Raw genomic sequence first — 19289 nt, 5'->3', positions numbered from 1 at the left:
GGATTACAGGCCTGAGCCACTGTGCCCGGCCTTCTTTCATTTTCATAAAAGCAAGACATTTCAGTGTTTCTGATTAGGAACAATACTTCTCTACTTAAAAGACTTCAACCAATCTTTGCAAGGCCTATTTTCTGATTATCTTTGACATTACTTTCTGTGTAACTCCTGGAAGACATTCCCATTGATGACATTTTTCTTTTTTATTTAACATTTCAAAATAAGATTATCCCCTTGGAGGAAGAGAAAGTTGATGTTTACTGTGTAACATCAGAAATTCTCATTGATGTCCCAGCTCCTTTATCATCTGCTCTCAAGCAATGTGCTTGCATAAATCTGGAAACAAGTGACCACCCAGAAAATCAACACTTGGGATGCCAGTGCTAGGGAATTAATGCCCATCTCCTCTCCCAGTAGCCCTTATGTAAAGATGACAACAACTGATGTATAAACATACTCTAGTTCCCTCACTTGAGGGTCGAGATGGGGCCATGAAGGTAACTCTCCTACACTGACTCCCAGAGCTTAGCAACAGGATTAAGCTCTAGGTACCCACAGTAGTTAACGGCTTTGACAAGATACTCTTTGCCTTTTCCCTTCCCTGTCTTACTTCTCCACTCCCCTACCTGTGTTTTCTGCAAGTCTCCTCCCAAGTAAACTACTTGCATTGGAGTCCTTGTTCAGAGTATGCTTCTAAGAGAGATCTATTTGGTAGAATATCAGAAACTTGTGTTTGCAGTATGACAAAGAGTTTGGGCAAGAAACGTAGATGCAAAACCAAATAGCATTTTGATTTTGATACCATGCAGTATATAACATAATTCTCCAAGTGTACAATTCTTGGATGTACTGATGCATGACTTCAGATACCACATGGTTGAATGAGTATTAATCTCCACATCTGGCAGCATGATTGCTCCCGGAAGAGTCCACTGCCTTCTCAGTGTTTTACTAACCTCTCACTAATGGCACCCAGTGGGACATCTAGGATGCTTTCCTTGTTTGTGGTGCCTCTTGGTTTCATAGGTATTCCCACCTTTGGTTGAGAATTTTTTCGTTTCTAGCTGGGTTCTCCTTCTGAACGAACTCTTATACCTAGGGCATTTGGGGAATGTTTCTATAGAGGAAGAGATGTGATTATCAGCAGAAGAAACAAAGCTGTGGGAGTGATCTACTGCCATGATTAACAATAGCGCTCTGCCAAATACATGGCTCCTGTGCAAACAGTTGAGAGTTAAAATTACATTTTACACATCAGTGATATGTGTTTTTATTTATTTAAAAAGCTGTCATAACAGAACTAAATGCATCTTTAGATGTATTTACCAAATATTAACACAATGAAGACTACTGAAGCCTAACTCCATTGTTTTGTGGCTTTCAGATGAAGGTGAGACAGCCGAGTAAAAAAGGAGTCCCCAGAGAACCTCTGACTGACCTGCACTCTGGGAAGACAGGGTGGAGCCTCGGGAATTTCCCACCATTTGCAGGGGGTAGGAGCCTGGCCTTTCCTGTTCCTGTGTGGTAACCTGGGACTCAATCTGTGAGATGGGAGTCTGTAAACAGGAACCCCTCTCGCGTTGCTGAGAGTTTTTTCTTTTCCCTTTTGCCCAATAAATAAATTCTGTTTCCCCTTACCCTTCACAATGTCTGTGTGCCTAACTTTTCCTGGTTGTGTGACAACAACCCAGTTTTTTCTACAACATTTTTGGCAACCAGACATGGAGCTTGAGGAAGGCTGAGTACTATGCAAACCAAAAAATCTTTTTTCCTTTCACTTCTAAGCCTTTTTTTCCTTGGACCTCTTCTGAGGGTAGAGGAAACTGCAACCCCAACGGTTGCAGGTGCGTGCGGGATGGACCAGTGAATGGTGCCTCCCCCACTCCCCTCCTGGCCAGGACTGGGATGCATGGCAAGGGAGCCTTCCCCTAACCTGGCCAAGGGGTCCAACTCCTTTGGGCAGCAATTAATTTTCTCTCCCTGGTGTAGGAACCTATTTGCATAAGAATAAGAGGTTCTTCCCCAGGAATCTTTTTCTTTTTTCTACCCTGTCAGCAGTTGACTTTTTTTTTTTTCTTTGAGACAGAGTCTTGTTCTGTTGCTCAGGCTGGAGTGCAATGGCATGATCTTGGCTCACTGCAACCTCTGCCACCAGGGTTCAAGCAATTATCCTGCTTCAGCCTCCCAAGCAGCTGAGATTACAGGCACCTGCCACCATGCCCAGCTAATTTTTTGTATTTTTAATAAAGATGGGTTTTCACCATGTCGGCCAGGCTGGTCTCGAACTCCTGACATCAGGTGATCCACCTGCCTTGGTCTCTCAAAGTGCTGGGATTACAGGCGTGAACCACTGCACCCAGCCAGCAGTTTACTTTTAAGGGAGGTTTTTTTTTCCTTTTGGAAGATGTTTTGCTGGGCCAGAAATGATGGAGATCACTGTTTATATTCTCTGTAAAGTTTTAATTATGAAAAAAGATTTGTGAAGGTGGTCTTGAGTTGTAGCCAATCTGGTGTGCTTTGTGTGTCTTTCTGCAGGTTCTGTAGCAAACTTTGTGGTAGGCCTCCATCTTGTTTTATATCCTTGGGAGCATGGCCTGTAACCATGTGGCAATGCCTTTCTTTTGTCCTCTGCAATTTTATAATGGCAGCCCAGGGTTCTATCTTGGCTTAGGGAATGAGTCCTTTCTGGTTTGATATCTGTGCAACATTTGCTATCTGTTGATTCTCTTCCCCTCCATAAACTGCCTTGGATTTTCCTTTCTCTGAGCCTTTAGTAAAGTTTGAAAGCCAGAAATATTGGCCACTTGGTGTGACTAAAGTCAAGTAATAGAGGAGTTAAAAGGACTTTCCTTTTTTCTTTTTTTTGAGACGGAGTCTTGCTCTGTCGCCCAGGCTGGAGTGCAGTGGCGCGATCTCGGCTCACTGCAAGCTCCGCCTCCTGGGTTCACACCATTCTCCTGCCTCAGCCTCCCGAGTAGCTGGGACTAGAGGTGCCCACCACCATGACTGACTAATTTTTTGTATTTTTAATAGAGACGGGGTTTCACTGTGTTAGCCAGGATGGTCTTGATATCCTGACCTTGCGATCCACCCACCTCGGCCTCCCAAAGTGCTGGGATTATACACGTGAGCCACCGCACCTGGCCAAAAGGACTTTCTTAAAGAGTGCTCAGCTTAATTAAAAGTGGATACCCAAGTTATAGGTATATTTAAAAGGCCTTTATGTTTTTCTTTTCTTTGATCTTGTTTTGCTGAAAAAAGGTTTTTTTCTCAATCAACTGAATTATTTTTCTCCATTTTGCCTTGCCACTCTCAAAGCACACATTAGAGGGGAGAGACCTCAGTTTTCCTCACGGAACCTCAGGAATTAAAAGCGAATAGATCCCTCTCAAAATCTGTTTTTGCTGCATCTATGCCTATTTATTAGGCCTTAGAAGCTGCATGTTTTCCTAGCCCTGTCTCTTAAAGGGCTCCACCCAGAAGTCAATAATCCAGTTAGGAGATTGGCAAACAAAAGATTTTATGGTGACTGGGTTTTCTTCTTCCTGTCTGTGTAGTTATATATGTGCTCTGTGTGTGACGCCTATAAAAAGAGCTCTAATTAATTGGCCTAAAGGAAGATAAGCTCTTGGATCAAATATTGTTTAAAGGGAAGATAAAAGCTGTGGTACCTTTCAGTTCACATGACTTTAATCTTTGAGAAATAAAAACAGCCTTAAAGATTATTGGTAAAAAGCAGATGTCATCAAAATATAAATAGGTGGACTAAATTATGCAGGTCAGGTGCTAGCTTTGCTAAATATTTTAAGGTTAGAAACTGCTTTTGGGGTTTTGAGAACTACTTGACTTGCCTGCTTCACAACTGGTAAGGCCTGGGGACATATGGAATGAACCACACCCTTAATTAAGCTGGAAGGAGTCAAACCTTGGCTGCCCCAGCACATAATTAAAACAACTTACCCTGTTTTACATTTAAGTTAAAAATTGCTAGGCATTACCATTATAACATGTAATTGAAACTACTGGAAATAGATTTACATGTGAGGTATATAAGAACAGTAAAATGTGTTTTTAGTAAAAGATTATTAAAAAGGCATGGAAATGTAAATTCTTGCCCGGGGTAAATAATTGTTTTAAATTAGACAAGATAAAGCTAAAAGTTCAAACAAGTGGTGGAAGGATTGCAAAAATTATTCTTGCAAAAATTCTGTGTGTGAACATATTGACTAAATTCAAAAGGGTATTATATGGTTTTTCTGTAAATTGAACATCGAAATAAAAACACAACAAGGTACTCTTAAGGCACTAATCTGGTCTTTAGCAAAACTGGTAAAGGGTTATAAAAGGTTTTTGCTTTTTTAAAATTTGTGAGTCATCATTTTGGCAAAATAAATAATTCACAGTAATCTGGAATTCTATTTCATAACATCAAGTGTTCTAAATTTCTAACACTTAACAGGCTTCCTGAAATTAGATTTCAGTTTCAAAATTGCCTTTCTTGATGCCTGGCTTTTGGGTGCTTCAGAGGGCCCCTGGAGTATCCAAAAGAGAGGTAAACAGGATTATTTGACATGTTTAGGTACATGGGATTGCCAAAATGGTGTTCAATTTTCTTTAGGTTATATTTTGGTGAACAATACTAATATATGTTCCAAAATTGTATGGGATTTCTAAAACTATGATGTCTAAAGTATATGCTATCAATCATAATTAAGGTTGTTATGTTAAGTTATTGTAAAACAAACTTCTTTGTCAATTGCATTTCTAACTGTTACTACCCTGGACACTGTTATTTACAAACAATTGTTATTTTGTTTTGATCCTTTTTAGAAGAGGGTTTATAATAAGCTATAGGATTCTGACAGGTGCTCTCAAATATAGGTTTCTGATAACTTTGGAGACTGTGACATTGGAATAAAGGAAAAATATACAGGATTCATGAAGAGCTCAAATGTTCATGAATATCTAGGAAAACAAGAGTCAACTAAATGGACTGAACTCAGAAAACTGAAGCAATCTTTTTGACTTTTGCTTGGAATATTGCTGATCATTGTTTTGTTTTTCAGAGTCAAGGAAACTTATTTTGAACTATTTATGGCCTTCAATAATTGAGTGAGATATACTCTTGTGAACAAAATTTGGAGCATGTTTGTTTCTCTCTGCCTGGTTCCTCTAGAATTTGGAAACTATCTGTGAGTATTCTTAACTTATGGCAATATAGTTGTTTGCATCAGTGCAGTAAGAATCCATTTTCTTTTGCAACAGGACACAATTGTAGAAACTGGTTGTTTTACCAAGGCTTTGACTGAAAGAGTATGCTTCCCTTTAAGAAGTCAAGCTCAACTTGCAGAGCTGATAAAAGCCCCTTGGGAAAACTGGCCTCATACCCTTGCCTACACAGTTCCTATACAGAGTTCCTGAACTGTGGTCAGTAAAGGATGTCACTTTCTAACAGGCCCAGGAGCTCCAAGTTTATCTTGGGACCTTAAGAGGAGAGGATCACCCAACTCACAGGTATTTAAGGATACAAACCCATGTCTGGGCACCACTTTAAAAGGTCTTCTCTGAGATTCCTTGTGGAATCTCAAGTATGTAAAAATAGTTATTCTTGCTGCATTTTATGCACATAATGATGTCAACTATAATGCTAAAGTCTATTTTGCAAAAAACTTAGTCCTATTCGTCATGATTTGTTTTTTAAACAAAAATGAGGACTGGAGAGAGAGAAATTATGCTTCAAAACTTATACATTTGTCATTAAATTCTAAACTCATTAGTCATTTTTAAGTTTTCGCCTACATTTTAGACTAACTTTGCTTATTCCTGTGAACCAACCAGCAAACTCTGGCTGCAGCTCAGAAAGAAAAGGGATGAGTAATGTAGAAATCTGGATCAATATTCTAGTTCTGAGCAATTATCCTGCAAATCCTGCCAGGTGATGGGACTAAATAGGTTGCCCATCACCCAGAGGTCTCTTTTTTGGGAGACTAAGACCAAGGGAATTAACTAAAGTCAAGCACAATGCACCCAAATCTTAGCAAGCATAACTATAGCCACCAGTTATCTGGGCATTTCACAACGCATCCTTTTCTCTCCATTGTTGGAGGAAGATTCAATACCACAGCTTCAGCTTAGCATTTGGCTTATGATAAGTAGTCCATGCCACCCCCTGGAGGCACATTTTTGTCCCAAACTCAATTCCAAGCTTCTGGTCAAAGTCCTAGGAAAGAAAACTGCATCTGAGGGATCTGGAGGCAGATGATAATGGAAGTTAAAAAGCACAGTGCAGGTGAGCAGGGCTAATTCCTGCCGATTAAGCCAAGCTTCCCGTTTCATGGATAAAGGTCACATTAGTATCCATGGCATAAATGAGGGCAAAGTAATTCAAGGCTACTGACAGCAGGGGAGATAGGGTGTATATGGGTAAGAGCAGATACACCCACCCCCTAGGTTCTCCTGTTAACATGGATGAAAGCCGCTTTAACACCCATGGCTAGCAGCCTGTCACGGTTGCCAGGACTAGAGGATACAAGGATGGAGGAAAGAAAGAGGAACAACTCACTTTCCCTCCCTCACATACCCCAAGTATTTGCCAGGAAGAGAAAGGAACCAGAGATACCTGCTCCCCTCTTTCTAGATGAGTAGCAATTAATCTTCAGTCTGTACCCCTTTCAAATGTATCATGAACCCCTGGGACTCCTCTGAAAAAAACCTTCTTTTTCCATTTTTCCTTCTCTGTCCTCTCTTCACTGATAGGTAATTGTGTCTCTGTACTACAAGACACTCCCCTGAGATGCATCCTCCGAAATGGGAAAAGTTAATTTCCCAGATCTTACGCTGGTTGGCTTAGGATTGGGATCAGGGGAAGGGAACCCAGAAACCCAACATGCTGGCAAAAGGGTAAAGTTTATTACCAGGCAGGCTTTTGGCCTCCCTCTCCCTGTGCAAACCAGTAAAAGGCCTTGGAATTTTTGAACTGTCCTTACCCCTCCCCTTGTTTCATTTTGATACATGATTTTTAATAACCCGGTTTGTCTGTTCTTTCCCTCAGGCCATCAAACTCCAAATGGTCATGGAATCAGAGCCTCTGATGATGGCTCCTTCTGCTGAGAAACCTTAGATAGGCCTCTGAGGGAACTCTGACTGCCGTTTTCCCCAAAAAAGTGCCCCCTGTCAGCAGAAAGCAGTTAAAATTGGTCTTCGTCCTTATCCTTATCCTTATTCTAATGGCAGTTAGATGTACTTCTTTAGAGGTGGGAATGAGACAGCCAGGTGGGAAGGGGTTCCCAGAGAAACTCCAACCAGGCCATGCACTGGGAGGACAGGGTGGAGCCTCGGGAAGTTTGTGCCATTTGCAGTGGGGAGGAGACTGGCCTCTCCTGTTCCTTTGTTGTAACCTGGGATTAAATCTGTGAGTTGGGGGCCTGTTAACAGGAACCCCTCTCAATTTGCTGAGAGTTTTTTTCCCCCTTTTCACCCAATAAATTCCATTCCCACTCACCCTTCAAAGTGTCTGCATGCCCAACTTTTCCTGGTTGTGTGACAAGAAGGCAGTTTTTTCTACAAAACAAAGGTTCTCCCACTGGAAATATAGTGGATGGTGATATGGTTTGTCTGTGTCCCCACCCAAATCTCATCTTGAATTGTTCTCCCATAATTCCCACATGTTGTGAGAGGGACCCGGTGGGAGATAATTTGAATCATGGGGGGGCTTTCCCCCATACTGTTCTTGTGGTAGTGAATAAGTCTCACGAGATCAGTTTTATCAGGGGTTCCCACTTTTGCATCTTTCTCATTTTCTCTTGCCGCTGTCATGTTCAAAGTGCCTTTCACCTCCCGCCATGATTCTGAGGCCTCCCCAGCCATGTGGAACTGTAAGTCCAAGTAAACCTCTTTTTCTTCCCAGTCTTGGGTATGTCTTTATCAGCAGCATGAAAATGGACTAATACAGAGGACTACTAAGTATCTGTTGAAAGCAGAAATTTCTAGGCCTGTATCTAAATTGCATATAATGTGTCACTGAGTAGGATAGGTGTAGTTTACCCCAGCATGTGGCGAGGGGGAGCAGAGAGATGTGGTGCAATGGAACTTCAGACATCTGCTCATCCCTTGTAACACGGCAATAACAGTAAATTGTGTAAAGAGGTATGTTGGAAAGATGGCTGATGTTTTCTAACTTTTAGGCTTATAATAGTGACACGTATCCTTCTGTGTTGACTATATTTAGAATTTTTAGTTTGATGACAAGAACACAAAATTTGGGTTTTTCTTAGAGTGACTTTCATTAAGGAGAAAGTTAGCCAATGGTAAATGAAAAAGAATTATTTAAAAATAATGTGTAACCTAAATTTGCAATACCTAATTTTTTTCCTTAAATGATTTTGTTTGTGACCCACATAACTGATCACAAATCACAGTGCTCCTGCACTAGCCTGAATTACCATTGTGCACTGAATGATGAGTTTCAGAAAACGCAAGAACTTCAGGATGGCTGACTCATTATATATTGAGCAGCTTGTATATTCACATCACAATATACATGTCGGGGGTGGGTGCTGTGTACACACAAAGGCAAACTTCCAATGCACTAGAATTGATGTCTCCCTAAACATCCTGTTTACAGCTTAACATGTACAGGTCCATTGTGCCCACTAGCAAGGAGGACAAGTCTTGTGTGTGTTGGTCTGTGATGCCTTTCAGTTAGGCTTTTTAAGAGGAGCCCAAAGTATTTCTGAATAATGAAGGTTTGTTTGTTTGTCCTGACATACCAGAGGGTTTTCCTATAGCATTGAGTATCAGCTTTTGAATCCCTGAAAACCCTCATCACACAATACAGCTTTTTTCAAAGAGTATGTTAGCAGTACATTTTTTTTCTGGAATGAATAACACAGTTTTAAAGTGATTGCAGAGTTCCCGAAGTTAGTAGGACTTTAGAGAATACAGGACAACTTGAACTTAAGGTGCTTAAGGCCCTTGTAAAAGTTTTATGATTCTTTCATGCTTTTGCTTTTGTGTTCTAAAACGCAGAAAGACCTTGAGGGAGAGAAGAGGAAGCAAAATGTTATCAGAAGGAAAAAAATTCTTGTGACTGCTACCTGGAGGGGAAAATGTGAAACTGGATCTTAATTTTTGTTTTGTTTTGTTTTTCAAAGGATATTTCTGCCTGTGAAAAATGAGGCCTATGAAGGACAGAAAATGTGCCAAAGTAACTTTTCGTAACAATCTCCAAATTCCACATATGTCCGCGTGAGTGACTGGACAAATTCCAACTGACTATAAGGGCTCTGGAGCTCCTTTTCCTCCACTCGAAAATCTCATTCTCCCAATACCTTATCATCTATCACTTATCTTTCACTTAAGAAATATTTTTGTAATACCTACTATGTGCCAGGTACAGCATCATGTCATGGAAATACAAAGATAAAAATAGTAGTGAGCAAAACAGAAACTTTCTGTTAAAAAAAATATGACGCTCATCAAAGACAGCAAGGAAGACTAATCAATATGGGACTATCACAATATGTATAGGAACAACTGCAGTGAGGTCTCACAGTAAGGGAGAGAAAGGAGGCTTGTCTCCCAATCCAACAAGGACAAGTGTAGATTTATAGCCAAGGAGCAATGTGGGGGGTCAGTGGAGGGAAAATCAGTAAGAGTAAACATCGGGGGTAAGGAGGAGACTTTATTGACTGACTCAACAGGATTCTTGCTGAAGGCAGGCCAGAGTGACAAGATATGGAGAATGGGGTATGAGGAATTTGATCAGCTGTTCAGGGTGGTCAGGTACCAATGGTGGAGAATTTTCACTAAAATAACTTAGTAGTATGACAGGCCATATCTCACTAACAGCTGAACAGGCAGGCCTCCATAACAACTGTTTCAGCACTGACTGAGTGGTGACGCTAAATATTAAAAGCTGAGAGAGCCAGTGCCCTTATACAAAGGCTGGAAGGTAACAAAAGCACATCAAGAGTTTTTCCCAGGCCTTTCCTGGGCCTTGAAGCATGACAAGGTAACGAAGGAATTCTTAACAGGACCGGTTTAGAATTAAGCAAGTTTTTACTGGGGGTCTGAAGAAACTCCCCAGACCTCCACAAAATTTTTACTGGTGGTCTAAAGGAACTCCTCAAAGCTCCATGATTTAGTAGGAGACAAGATAAGGGTAATCACCCCAGCACCTGGACCCATCTAGATTAAGTAAATTTACTGAGGCTCCAGAGGAAGGTCTTCAAAACTCAGAGTTTAGTTATAGATTAGAAGGAGTTAATCACTTATGTCTTTAGAAGAATGCACACTTACATGTAGACATATAGCCTAGAAGGTATATAAGCTCTGGAAAACTTTGTAATTTTGAGTTGATCTGGCGATAGTTTCCCACCCTTCTCCCTGTACCTGGTTACAGAAATAAACTCGCTTCTTTCCCAGTTCACCTGCATCTTGTTATTGGGCAGCGAGAATAAGCAACCCCACCCTTGGTCTGGTCTGAGAACAGTAGGATTCTTGTTCAAACTGGATTCTACAAGGACAGAGGGAAGTCCAAGTTCGGGCTTAATCAATAAGAGGCTCAGAGGAGCCTAACTAAAGTTAGATCAAGGAGAGAGTCTTTGTCATTCTTCTCTTGTTCAAGGAAAGAAGAAACATTCAGATATTTGCTGAATGGTGCAAGAAGTCAGGCATTTAATGACGGGAATTTTCATTAAAACAAAATAAAAACAAAGATTATGGCTGGAAACAGTTGTTGAATCCAGTAGGCAGGTAGTCAAGAAGATTTCTAGACTTAAGCTCAAAACATTTTTAGATGGGGGAGTGAGGACAGCAGTGGCAATATGAGAAATTTCTTGGTTTGATTTGCAGTTTTAATGTCTTTGCTGATGACATCAGGTGTTTCAGTGAACTTTCTAAGTGGGCCACACAGCAGTAGGTATGAAGTAATGATCATTACCTACAGATGATCTGCTGCGTTTTATATCGTTTGAAGTTTATATCAAGTCCAGCTTCAATCTGCAGGACTTTATGGAAAGGGCAGTTTTTGGTCTCAGTGATACCAAGTCAGGAGGGTGGGAGAAAAATTGGAAGCATTAGTTTGGAGAGTTATAACCAGAAAAAGAAAACTAGAAAAATTCAGAATCCAGTCCAGTTTACAGGTAGATAATAAAACCAAACACAATGAACAGGACTATAATCTGATAATGGGTGCACTATAGTTTTCCACTGAAACAAAATTTCTTTCTATAGTCATCTCCCTTGTTTGTAAAATAAATCCGATCTCATTAGCTTCAGCCTGCCTATTTACATAAATACAAAAAGAATGGTAATTAACCACATAGGCCTTTTAGAGTCTGCTTTGCTGGAACTTTTCATAAGTGATCTCAAAGTAGACTTTCAAAACCTTCTCAAGACTATGAAGCCAAGCCAAGAATTTCCTACCAAATTTCACCTGCAATATCTTTGGATTTAGATGAATTCCTCTCTTCTCGAGGTCCCCAAGGTACCCTGAGGTTCCTGGGCCTGCATGATGGTTAATTTCATGTATCAACTTGATTGGCTTAATGGATGCTGGTAAACCATTATTTCTGGGTATGTCAGTGAGGGTGGTTTTGGAAGAGAATGGCATTTGAATCAGTAGGCTGAGTAAAGAAGACCCACCCTCCCCGATGTGAGTGGGCATCATCCAGTCTTTTGAGGGCCCACCTGAATAGAACAAAAAGGCAGGGAAGGGTAAATTCTCTCTCTTTTCTTGAGCTGGAAAATCCATCTTCTGACTTTGGGCAGCAGAGCTCCTAGTTCTTGAGCCTTCAGACTCCATGATTTACATCAGCATCCCTCTGGTTCTCGAGACTACTGCCGTAAATTGCGAGTTACACCATTGGCTCCCCTGGTTCTGAGGCCTTCAAACTCAAACTTAATTACACCACTGGCTTTTCTGGTTCTTGGTATCCATAATCATGCAAGCTAATTCCCATGATAAATCTCTTCTTATCTATCTATCTATCTATCTATCTATCTATCTATCTATCTGTATTTTTGTTGGTTTTGTTTCTCCAGAGAATCCTGACTTATACAATCTGCCAGAAAGTAACCTCCCTCACTCACCTGTAATGCTGGGAACCCTGTAAGGCAGGTACCAGGCCAGTTTTTCCAAGAGCGTTTTGTAAGCATTGGCTCTATAAAGTCAACTTTATTTCCTTAAAGCTAATTCTATACCCATGATTCCCTAATATGACATTCTGGTCAAAATCTTGGTAATATAACCAATTTCTCCAGTTGTGTCTAGTTACAAGGAAAACATATTCTTACTGAACTTAGGCAAATAACTATATTGCCATGAAAATGAGAATATTCAATAAAAGGTTCCAAATTCTGGGAGGGATAAGGTAGAGAGAAAGATAAATATTCATTTTTGTTCACAAAAGTATAATCTCCTAAATTGCTATAAGTTATAGATAGCTTAAGAGAATAGAGGAAAAGGGTCCTTGAATCTGGAAACTAACATTAAAGAACCAGCAATGTTTTAAAACAAAAATATACAAAAGTATAAACATCCTCATTAGTTCACTCAGTCCCATGTCACAAATCCTTGTTTTCCTTGATTTAGGGTTAGCAGTTTTATGAGTCTGTCAGTTTCTTCATTAAGTCTGGAAGTTCTTACTCAGTCCAGTGGCATGTCTGCAAAGTTATTCAATTGATGCCATCATGGAAATTTATTGCCTGTAGCTGATTGTAGATGCTTTCAGAGAAGAATCAGAGTAAAACAAAAACTGTCTGTGAGTGACAGAAGACTTAAAATGATCATGATTAAAGATCTGAAGAGAGTTCATTTGACAAGAAATTTGGTTAGTTGTGTGGCATACAGTATTTTAAGATAATAACTGCAATTATGACCATTATGTGGTCAGTAAGGGCATTGATAAATTTTTAGGAATTTCATACAATTTCTGAAACACATATTAATAAGTTATATTCATATACATATCATCTATAGAAGGTTAAGCATCACTTCTTATTTGACAATGCTTCTCATATAATTTAACATATGAAATAAACCTAATTACTTTAATATCTCTCTTTTACAAGGTGAAAGAACAAGTTCTTTAATAAGAGAGCCCTCTGGTAAATGTCAGTTAGTTCCAAGTCAAAAAGATATCATTTAGTATTTGATTTTGGGAAGTTTGTCAAAAATGTCAAAAGGTTTGAGCACTTGATTAAATAGGATTACAGATCGCTATGAAATATACTTAGTTATCCATTTAATCAAAGTGGCAATAAAAGATTCCAGAGGTAAATATAGTAAGTAACATACTCGAGAAAAATAACCCTAGCTTTTTTAATATTGAAAAGATTTGCTTTCAAAAGTAATTAAATATGTGATAAAGACAACATGAAGCACAGGAAATTTATCTACATAAGACACAGCATCTTTCCTTCCTAGATGAATTATTAAACAGGTAAAGAAAAATCTTTTACAATAATTTAAGAAAACTTTGTCCTTTTAACAGAGCGGAAACCAAATTATAGATATGGATTAGTACATTATTGAGCTTAAAAAATCCTTATAAAAATATTAGCATCTTGACTACACATAAAATTCCTTTTCCACAACTTCTACAACTTTTAAAAAACATGTATTTAGCTTCAGTCCTACTCTTTTCCCCTTTCTCATTTTGAACAATCACTCATCTTACTTTAGGACAAAATGACTCTTTTTTTCCTTAATGAAAACACATTTTTCATATTTTATATACTTTATTAAAAATCTAACCTACTACCCTTGTATATTTTGCATACAAAGTTGTTTCCCTGCAGTCTTATTATTTCCAGTGGTGTTAATTATATATATAGATAGATAGATAATATTTTTCAGCCATCATTCACATTTCTTTTACAGAAAAAAACTGGGAAGTGGGCAATTGTGAAGTCTGTCACATACCAGGATTCTGTATGTGCACATTAGCAAATTTTATGAATATACCCTCCCACATTTCTTACAGGTATAGGCTATTATTTTATAATACAATTTTTCATGTTTATTAAGAGGCTCGAATATATTTTAGCCTCTCTATTCCATGTGAAAATAAGAACCCAAAAGTATATAGACATAAACTTAGATTTAGTAGTGTTTTAATAGTTTATCTTGCTTAGAAATGATCTAGTTATTTAATTAATATCTATTACCTAATTTAACTTAGGATAACTCTTAAGGTTTCACATCACCAAATATTTGGAAACTGTTTTTAGGTTATAATAATTATAACATCATACAAGGCTAAAACATCACTTCAAGTTATTTTTCTGTTAACTAATTTTATAGCATGTTCATGTTAGGCAAGCATCAACAAAACAAAAACCTAAAAATGTTAAATACATGGGTTTTGTTTAACTGCTCTGCTTGATATGCATGAAGTGATGGATACTGCACTTCTTCATTCATTCTTAGGTTAAATTTATAATTTTTATAACTTTAAATATTTAGTAGAGATAACATACTGCTAAACCCAGGTAGAATAAATATGTATGCTCATCTTATATTTAATGCTGATAACTCAGAGGACATACCCTTTTTTAATTAAACCAACAATATTAAAGTAATCTAATTTCCCAAAGATTTACCCAAGTCATATAAAATTGAAAACCATTTGAGTTAGTTCCTATATTTCTGGGAGTTTTAGGAATATTTAGTTTATATGTCTCATTTATCTTGTAAGCCAATTTGAATAGAACTCCTTGAGAGATTTTATAAATTAATTTGGTAATACCATCTGGAAGTAGGGAAATGTCATTTATGTAATATGCATGCATACATACAAGCATATATAAACATACAGATGCAAACAGAGATCTTACAGCTTTTATTCTAAAATTTTAGCCATGAATCAGGCAACACAGTAATACAAAACTCACCGGTTTATCTCCACTTATATTTTTATCTGAATTGTGTTTCTGACAAAAATGGGACAAATTGAGGTTACCTACTCAACAAGAGCTAAAGATTAGGGAAAATAGCTAATGCACGCTGGGCTTAATACCTAGGTGACGGGTTGATAGGTGCAGCAAACCACCATGGGACATGTTTCCCTATGTAACAAACCTGCACATTTTGCACATGTATCCCAGAACTTTAAAAAAAACAATAAAAAAGAAAGTTAAAAAAGAATATGATGAAATATCAGTTATAAAATAAGTAATTGTTTTAAGAAAGAACATGTTAAAAGGAATAAATAAAATGTAAATGGCTGAAGAAAAAAACAAGAGCTAAAGCTTTTTATGAAGTTTTGTGGAGACCTCTAAGGACCTCCAAGATTTTCTTTTTCCTGATATGTAATCCTATAAAGGCTGAAGACTAAATTTGAGATCAGGGACTGAGGGCATGTCAAGCAAATGTCTAGATGATTCCAGAGTCCATCTGAGTAGATAAAATATCCAGTCTGTTTCTAATTAGCCTTTTTTTTTCAGCCTCAGATAGTGGCTTTCAGGTATCCCTGAGTCCCTCGAGAGGCCCTGATGTGAGTGGGAGGATTAAAGTTCAAATGACTGAGGGAGTTGAGCTGGAGCAAGAAGGAAAATGTCTAGCAGGGGTGGACAGAGAAGTGGAGCAGGCAGGGGTTTGAGGGGAACATATCAAAGAATTCAAGGGAGCTGAAGAGAGGATTGAAGGTGGTAAGAGGAAGAAGCAATGGGAAGGAAGAGACCATAGAGGAGCCAGTTTGAGGAGATCTCAAGTTCCTCAAAGAGGCCACTGGAGTTCCAAATAATCCTCAGCAAAATCATGCCAATAAGAAAGGAAGTAGACAGAGCTGGCCTCAGCATGGGTTCAAGAGGAGGAGTTTCAGACAACTGAACAATTTCTATAAAGAGAGGCCTCACAAAGAGCCAGAAAAAATAAAATTTCCAGCCCAGTAGTTGTGGAGTGGATCCTCACTTGAAACAAAAGAGTCAGGAAAATATTCCAGGCCAGGGAGCCAGGAAGTAATTAAATAAGGGTGGGAGACAGGAAGAATTTTCTAGCCAGGACCAGGCCCAGGAATCAGAGAATATATATAACTCCATTCCAAACAAAGAGCCAGGAAGAAAGACTTCCAGCCCAACAGGTGCCTTCTTTCTCTCTTTCTTTTTCTTTTCCTTTTTTTGAGACAGGGTCTCATTCTGTCACCCAGGCTGGAGTGCAGGAAGCTCAGGTGCCTTTCATAAAAAGCTTCAGACTCTAACGCAGCTTCAGAGAGTATACTCAGAATCATAAGAATCAAAATGTATCCTCACCATGCTTCAACAGACTGCCATCTGGAGCACTGGCTCAAGAGTTGGGCTTACCAATGGATTCCTGATCAGTCAGCCAAGAGTGAAGACAAAGGTTTCAAAGGTGCATACTTCAGGTTCTGGATGAGAGCTCCAGGGGTCCAATGGTGAATCTGATCTTATCTGAGTCACAGCCAACACAACTGTTAAAAAAATTATTCATGACACTTGTTAAAGATGGTAAGAAAGACTCTATTCCATGGAGGACTATCACAGTAGATACACGAACCACTGCAATGGGGTCCGTGTAGGGGAATAAAATTGGCATTGACTGCCACTCCAACAAGAATAGGTAAAGGGCAGGATGGAGACTCAGTGAATAGAAAATTACTGAAAGGAAACATCAGGGCTAAGGGGAATTCTTGCTAGACTGACCCAACAGGGTGACAAGATATCTAGTGTGGGGCATGAGGAATTTGATCAGCTACTCAGGGAAGTCAGTTATCAGTGGTGGGGAATTTTCACTAAATTAACTTAGTAGGATTCTTGCTCAAACTGGATTCTACAAGCCCAAGTTTAGGCCTAGTCGAGCAGAGGGCTTAGAGGAGCCTGATTAAAGTTTGGTCAAAGGAGAGAATCTTTGTCACTTCCTTTTATGTTTTGATGTTTGTCATCTAGTGTACACAGATAAGAAATTACAAATGACTCAAAATGCTGTCACAGAGAATAAGAGACACCATGAAAGCAAAGCGAGGTCTATTTGCTGTTGGGGGTCAGGAAATGGCCTCTGAAAGTCAATGATGATTGAACTGAAATCTGAAAGGGTGCTCCAGGCTGCATGAAGAACCTGGAAAAAAAAAAAAAAAAAAAAAAAAAACCTCTTGGACAGGAAGGTTCATGAATGCTCCCACAATGGGAAGATCAGAATAGAAAGCTGGAGGTAGAGTGGGAAGAATTTAAGGGGAGAAGGCTGCAGATAGACACGTGAGTAAACTGAGCATATCATAACAGCTGTTTTCAGCCTCTTCTGAATTTGGGTCTTTATGTCAAGAACAGTGGGCAGCCGTTGAAGGGTTTGAAAGAGAGATGAAGAAGATCTGATGGGTGTTTTGACCGTGGATAAGAGATTGGACAGCAGGAGGAGGAGATACTGGGGGCCCAGTTCAATGACTGTGAGTGAAGTTGCCATAAGAGAAAATGGTGATTTGAAACACGGTGGTGGCAGAAGAGATCAAATAAGCCTCTTGAAATATTTAGGTCACATCCGAGGGCTGGATTGGAGAATGGGCAACATGAAGGGACTGAGGAGGACACGCAGATTCCCAGCTGATATAATTAGCTCTATGTTGGGGTCATTCACCAAGACAGGGAGAAGAGAGGAGGACCAAGGTATGCGTGGTGGAGGGAGAGTGTGGATGGGCACAGGAGGGAGGAGCAGAAGGTCATCACCTTCTAGCTGAGGCCTCTCATCTTTCCAACCAAAGTCGTGGCTTTCAAAGTTTTGACAGTGACCCACAATGAGAAATATTTTACATAGCTTTCCTGTGGGCAGACAGGGTGTATAGAAGTTTCTAAAACAATGCTTCCCCTTTCCATGTACAACCAAAGGGTATTTCCTACCTTATTTTCCGTTAAAAGAGAAAAAAAATGACGTTAGCATGGGCCACGAGGCGGTAACGTCAGCGGTACAGCCAGCGGCAACGGCAAAAGCAACGGTAGCTGTAACGGTAGCGGTGACGTCAGCGGTAGCGGCAACGGTGACTGCAACGGTAGCGGTAACCATAGCGGTAACCGTAGCAACTACGGCAGCGGTGGCGGAGGCGGCGACCATAGTGACGTCATACGCAGCGCCCTTTGTGACACCAGGGCCCTGGTGCTTTAACTAGGGCGTTGGGACCTGTTGCCCACACAGACCGCCCTGCAGTTTCAGACTGGAGGGCGGTGGACGGCTACTCAGCGGCCCAACTCTCTCGCAGCCCTTCTCTCCGCAAAATGTCAGCCTCCACCTCCTCGCACCGGCCCATCAAGGGGATCCTGAAAAACAAAAGCTCGTCGGGTTCCTCGGTGGCGACTTCCGGTCAGCAGTCTGGAGGGACTATTCAAGATGTGAAGAGAAAGAAATCCCAAAAGTGGGACGAATCAAGCATCCTTGCGGCACACCGCGCAACGTACAGAGATTACGATTTAATGAAGGCAAATGAGCCCGGCACTTCCTACATGAGTGTGCAAGATAATGGGGAAGATTCAGTGCGCGATGTCGAAGGAGAAGATTCAGTGCGTGGTGTCGAAGGAAAGGAAGCCACCGATGCTTCCGACCACAGCTGTGAGGTGGACGAGCAAGAGAGCAGTGAGGCCTACATGAGAAAAATCCTCCTCCACAAACAGGAGAAAAAGCGGCAGTTCGAAATGAGAAGAAGGCTTCACTACAACGAAGAATTGAACATCAAATTAGCTAGACAATTAATGTGGAAAGAGCTACAAAGTGAAGATAATGAAAACGAAGAAACGCCACAAGGCACGAACGAAGAGAAGACTGCTGCGGAAGAATCAGAGGAAGCTCCTCTGACCGGTGGACTGCAAACCCAGTCATGCGACCCTTAGAAGATGCCTGCTTCACCCTTGCAATTGTTTGTGAATATGTGACGCTTAGAAGATATCTGCTTCACCCTTGCAATTGTTTGTGAAATACAAACCTTGTTACTGTAATACACTGCTTCTTGTTTTCTGTAGCGCATGCGTCGAGTACTAAATTACTTAGTTAAATTGTAATGCAGAATTAAATGGTAATCTTAGAGAGTCATAGATTAAGTGGGAAATGTCTGCTTGATGTTATTGTAATTATTTAACACAAATACAGATCCTGATATTGCTTTTAATTTTATAAAGCCATATTCCTTTTATAAAACCATGGGTTAATGTATATATTCTATAGCTTTTTAATATGTTAAAGACTTGAAAGGTAACTAATTTATATTCACTTCTAGTTATACTAACTTTTGCAGAAAAGGTTTTGTTAAAAATGCAAAACATAATTGTTAAAGTAGATTATCTAGGCTGATAAA

The 19289-nt window shown here is 39.8% G+C and overlaps 1 protein-coding gene across 1 annotated transcript; it reads left to right on the top strand.

Annotated features, from left to right (window-relative positions):
• The first annotated feature begins 18135 nt into the window (after positions 1-18135).
• PPP1R2C (PPP1R2 family member C) lies at positions 18136-18933 on the top strand. Its single transcript, NM_025210.2, has one exon. It carries the CDS (start codon positions 18220-18222, stop codon positions 18826-18828), a length of 609 nt encoding a protein of 202 aa, NP_079486.1. The 5' UTR covers positions 18136-18219; the 3' UTR covers positions 18829-18933.
• The last annotated feature ends 356 nt before the right edge of the window (positions 18934-19289 follow it).

The sequence above is a fragment of the Homo sapiens genome, chromosome X (assembly GCF_000001405.40).
Source record: "Homo sapiens chromosome X, GRCh38.p14 Primary Assembly".
NCBI lineage: Eukaryota > Metazoa > Chordata > Mammalia > Primates > Hominidae > Homo > Homo sapiens.
The sequence above is the reverse complement of the archived record's forward strand: the minus strand, read 5'-3'. Positions and strand labels throughout refer to the sequence as shown.

What these genes read in the sequence shown, in the direction of transcription:
- PPP1R2C (NM_025210.2), top strand. Translation starts at nt 18,220, where the DNA reads ATGTCAGCCTCCACCTCCTCGCACCGGCCCATCAAGGGGATCCTGAAA.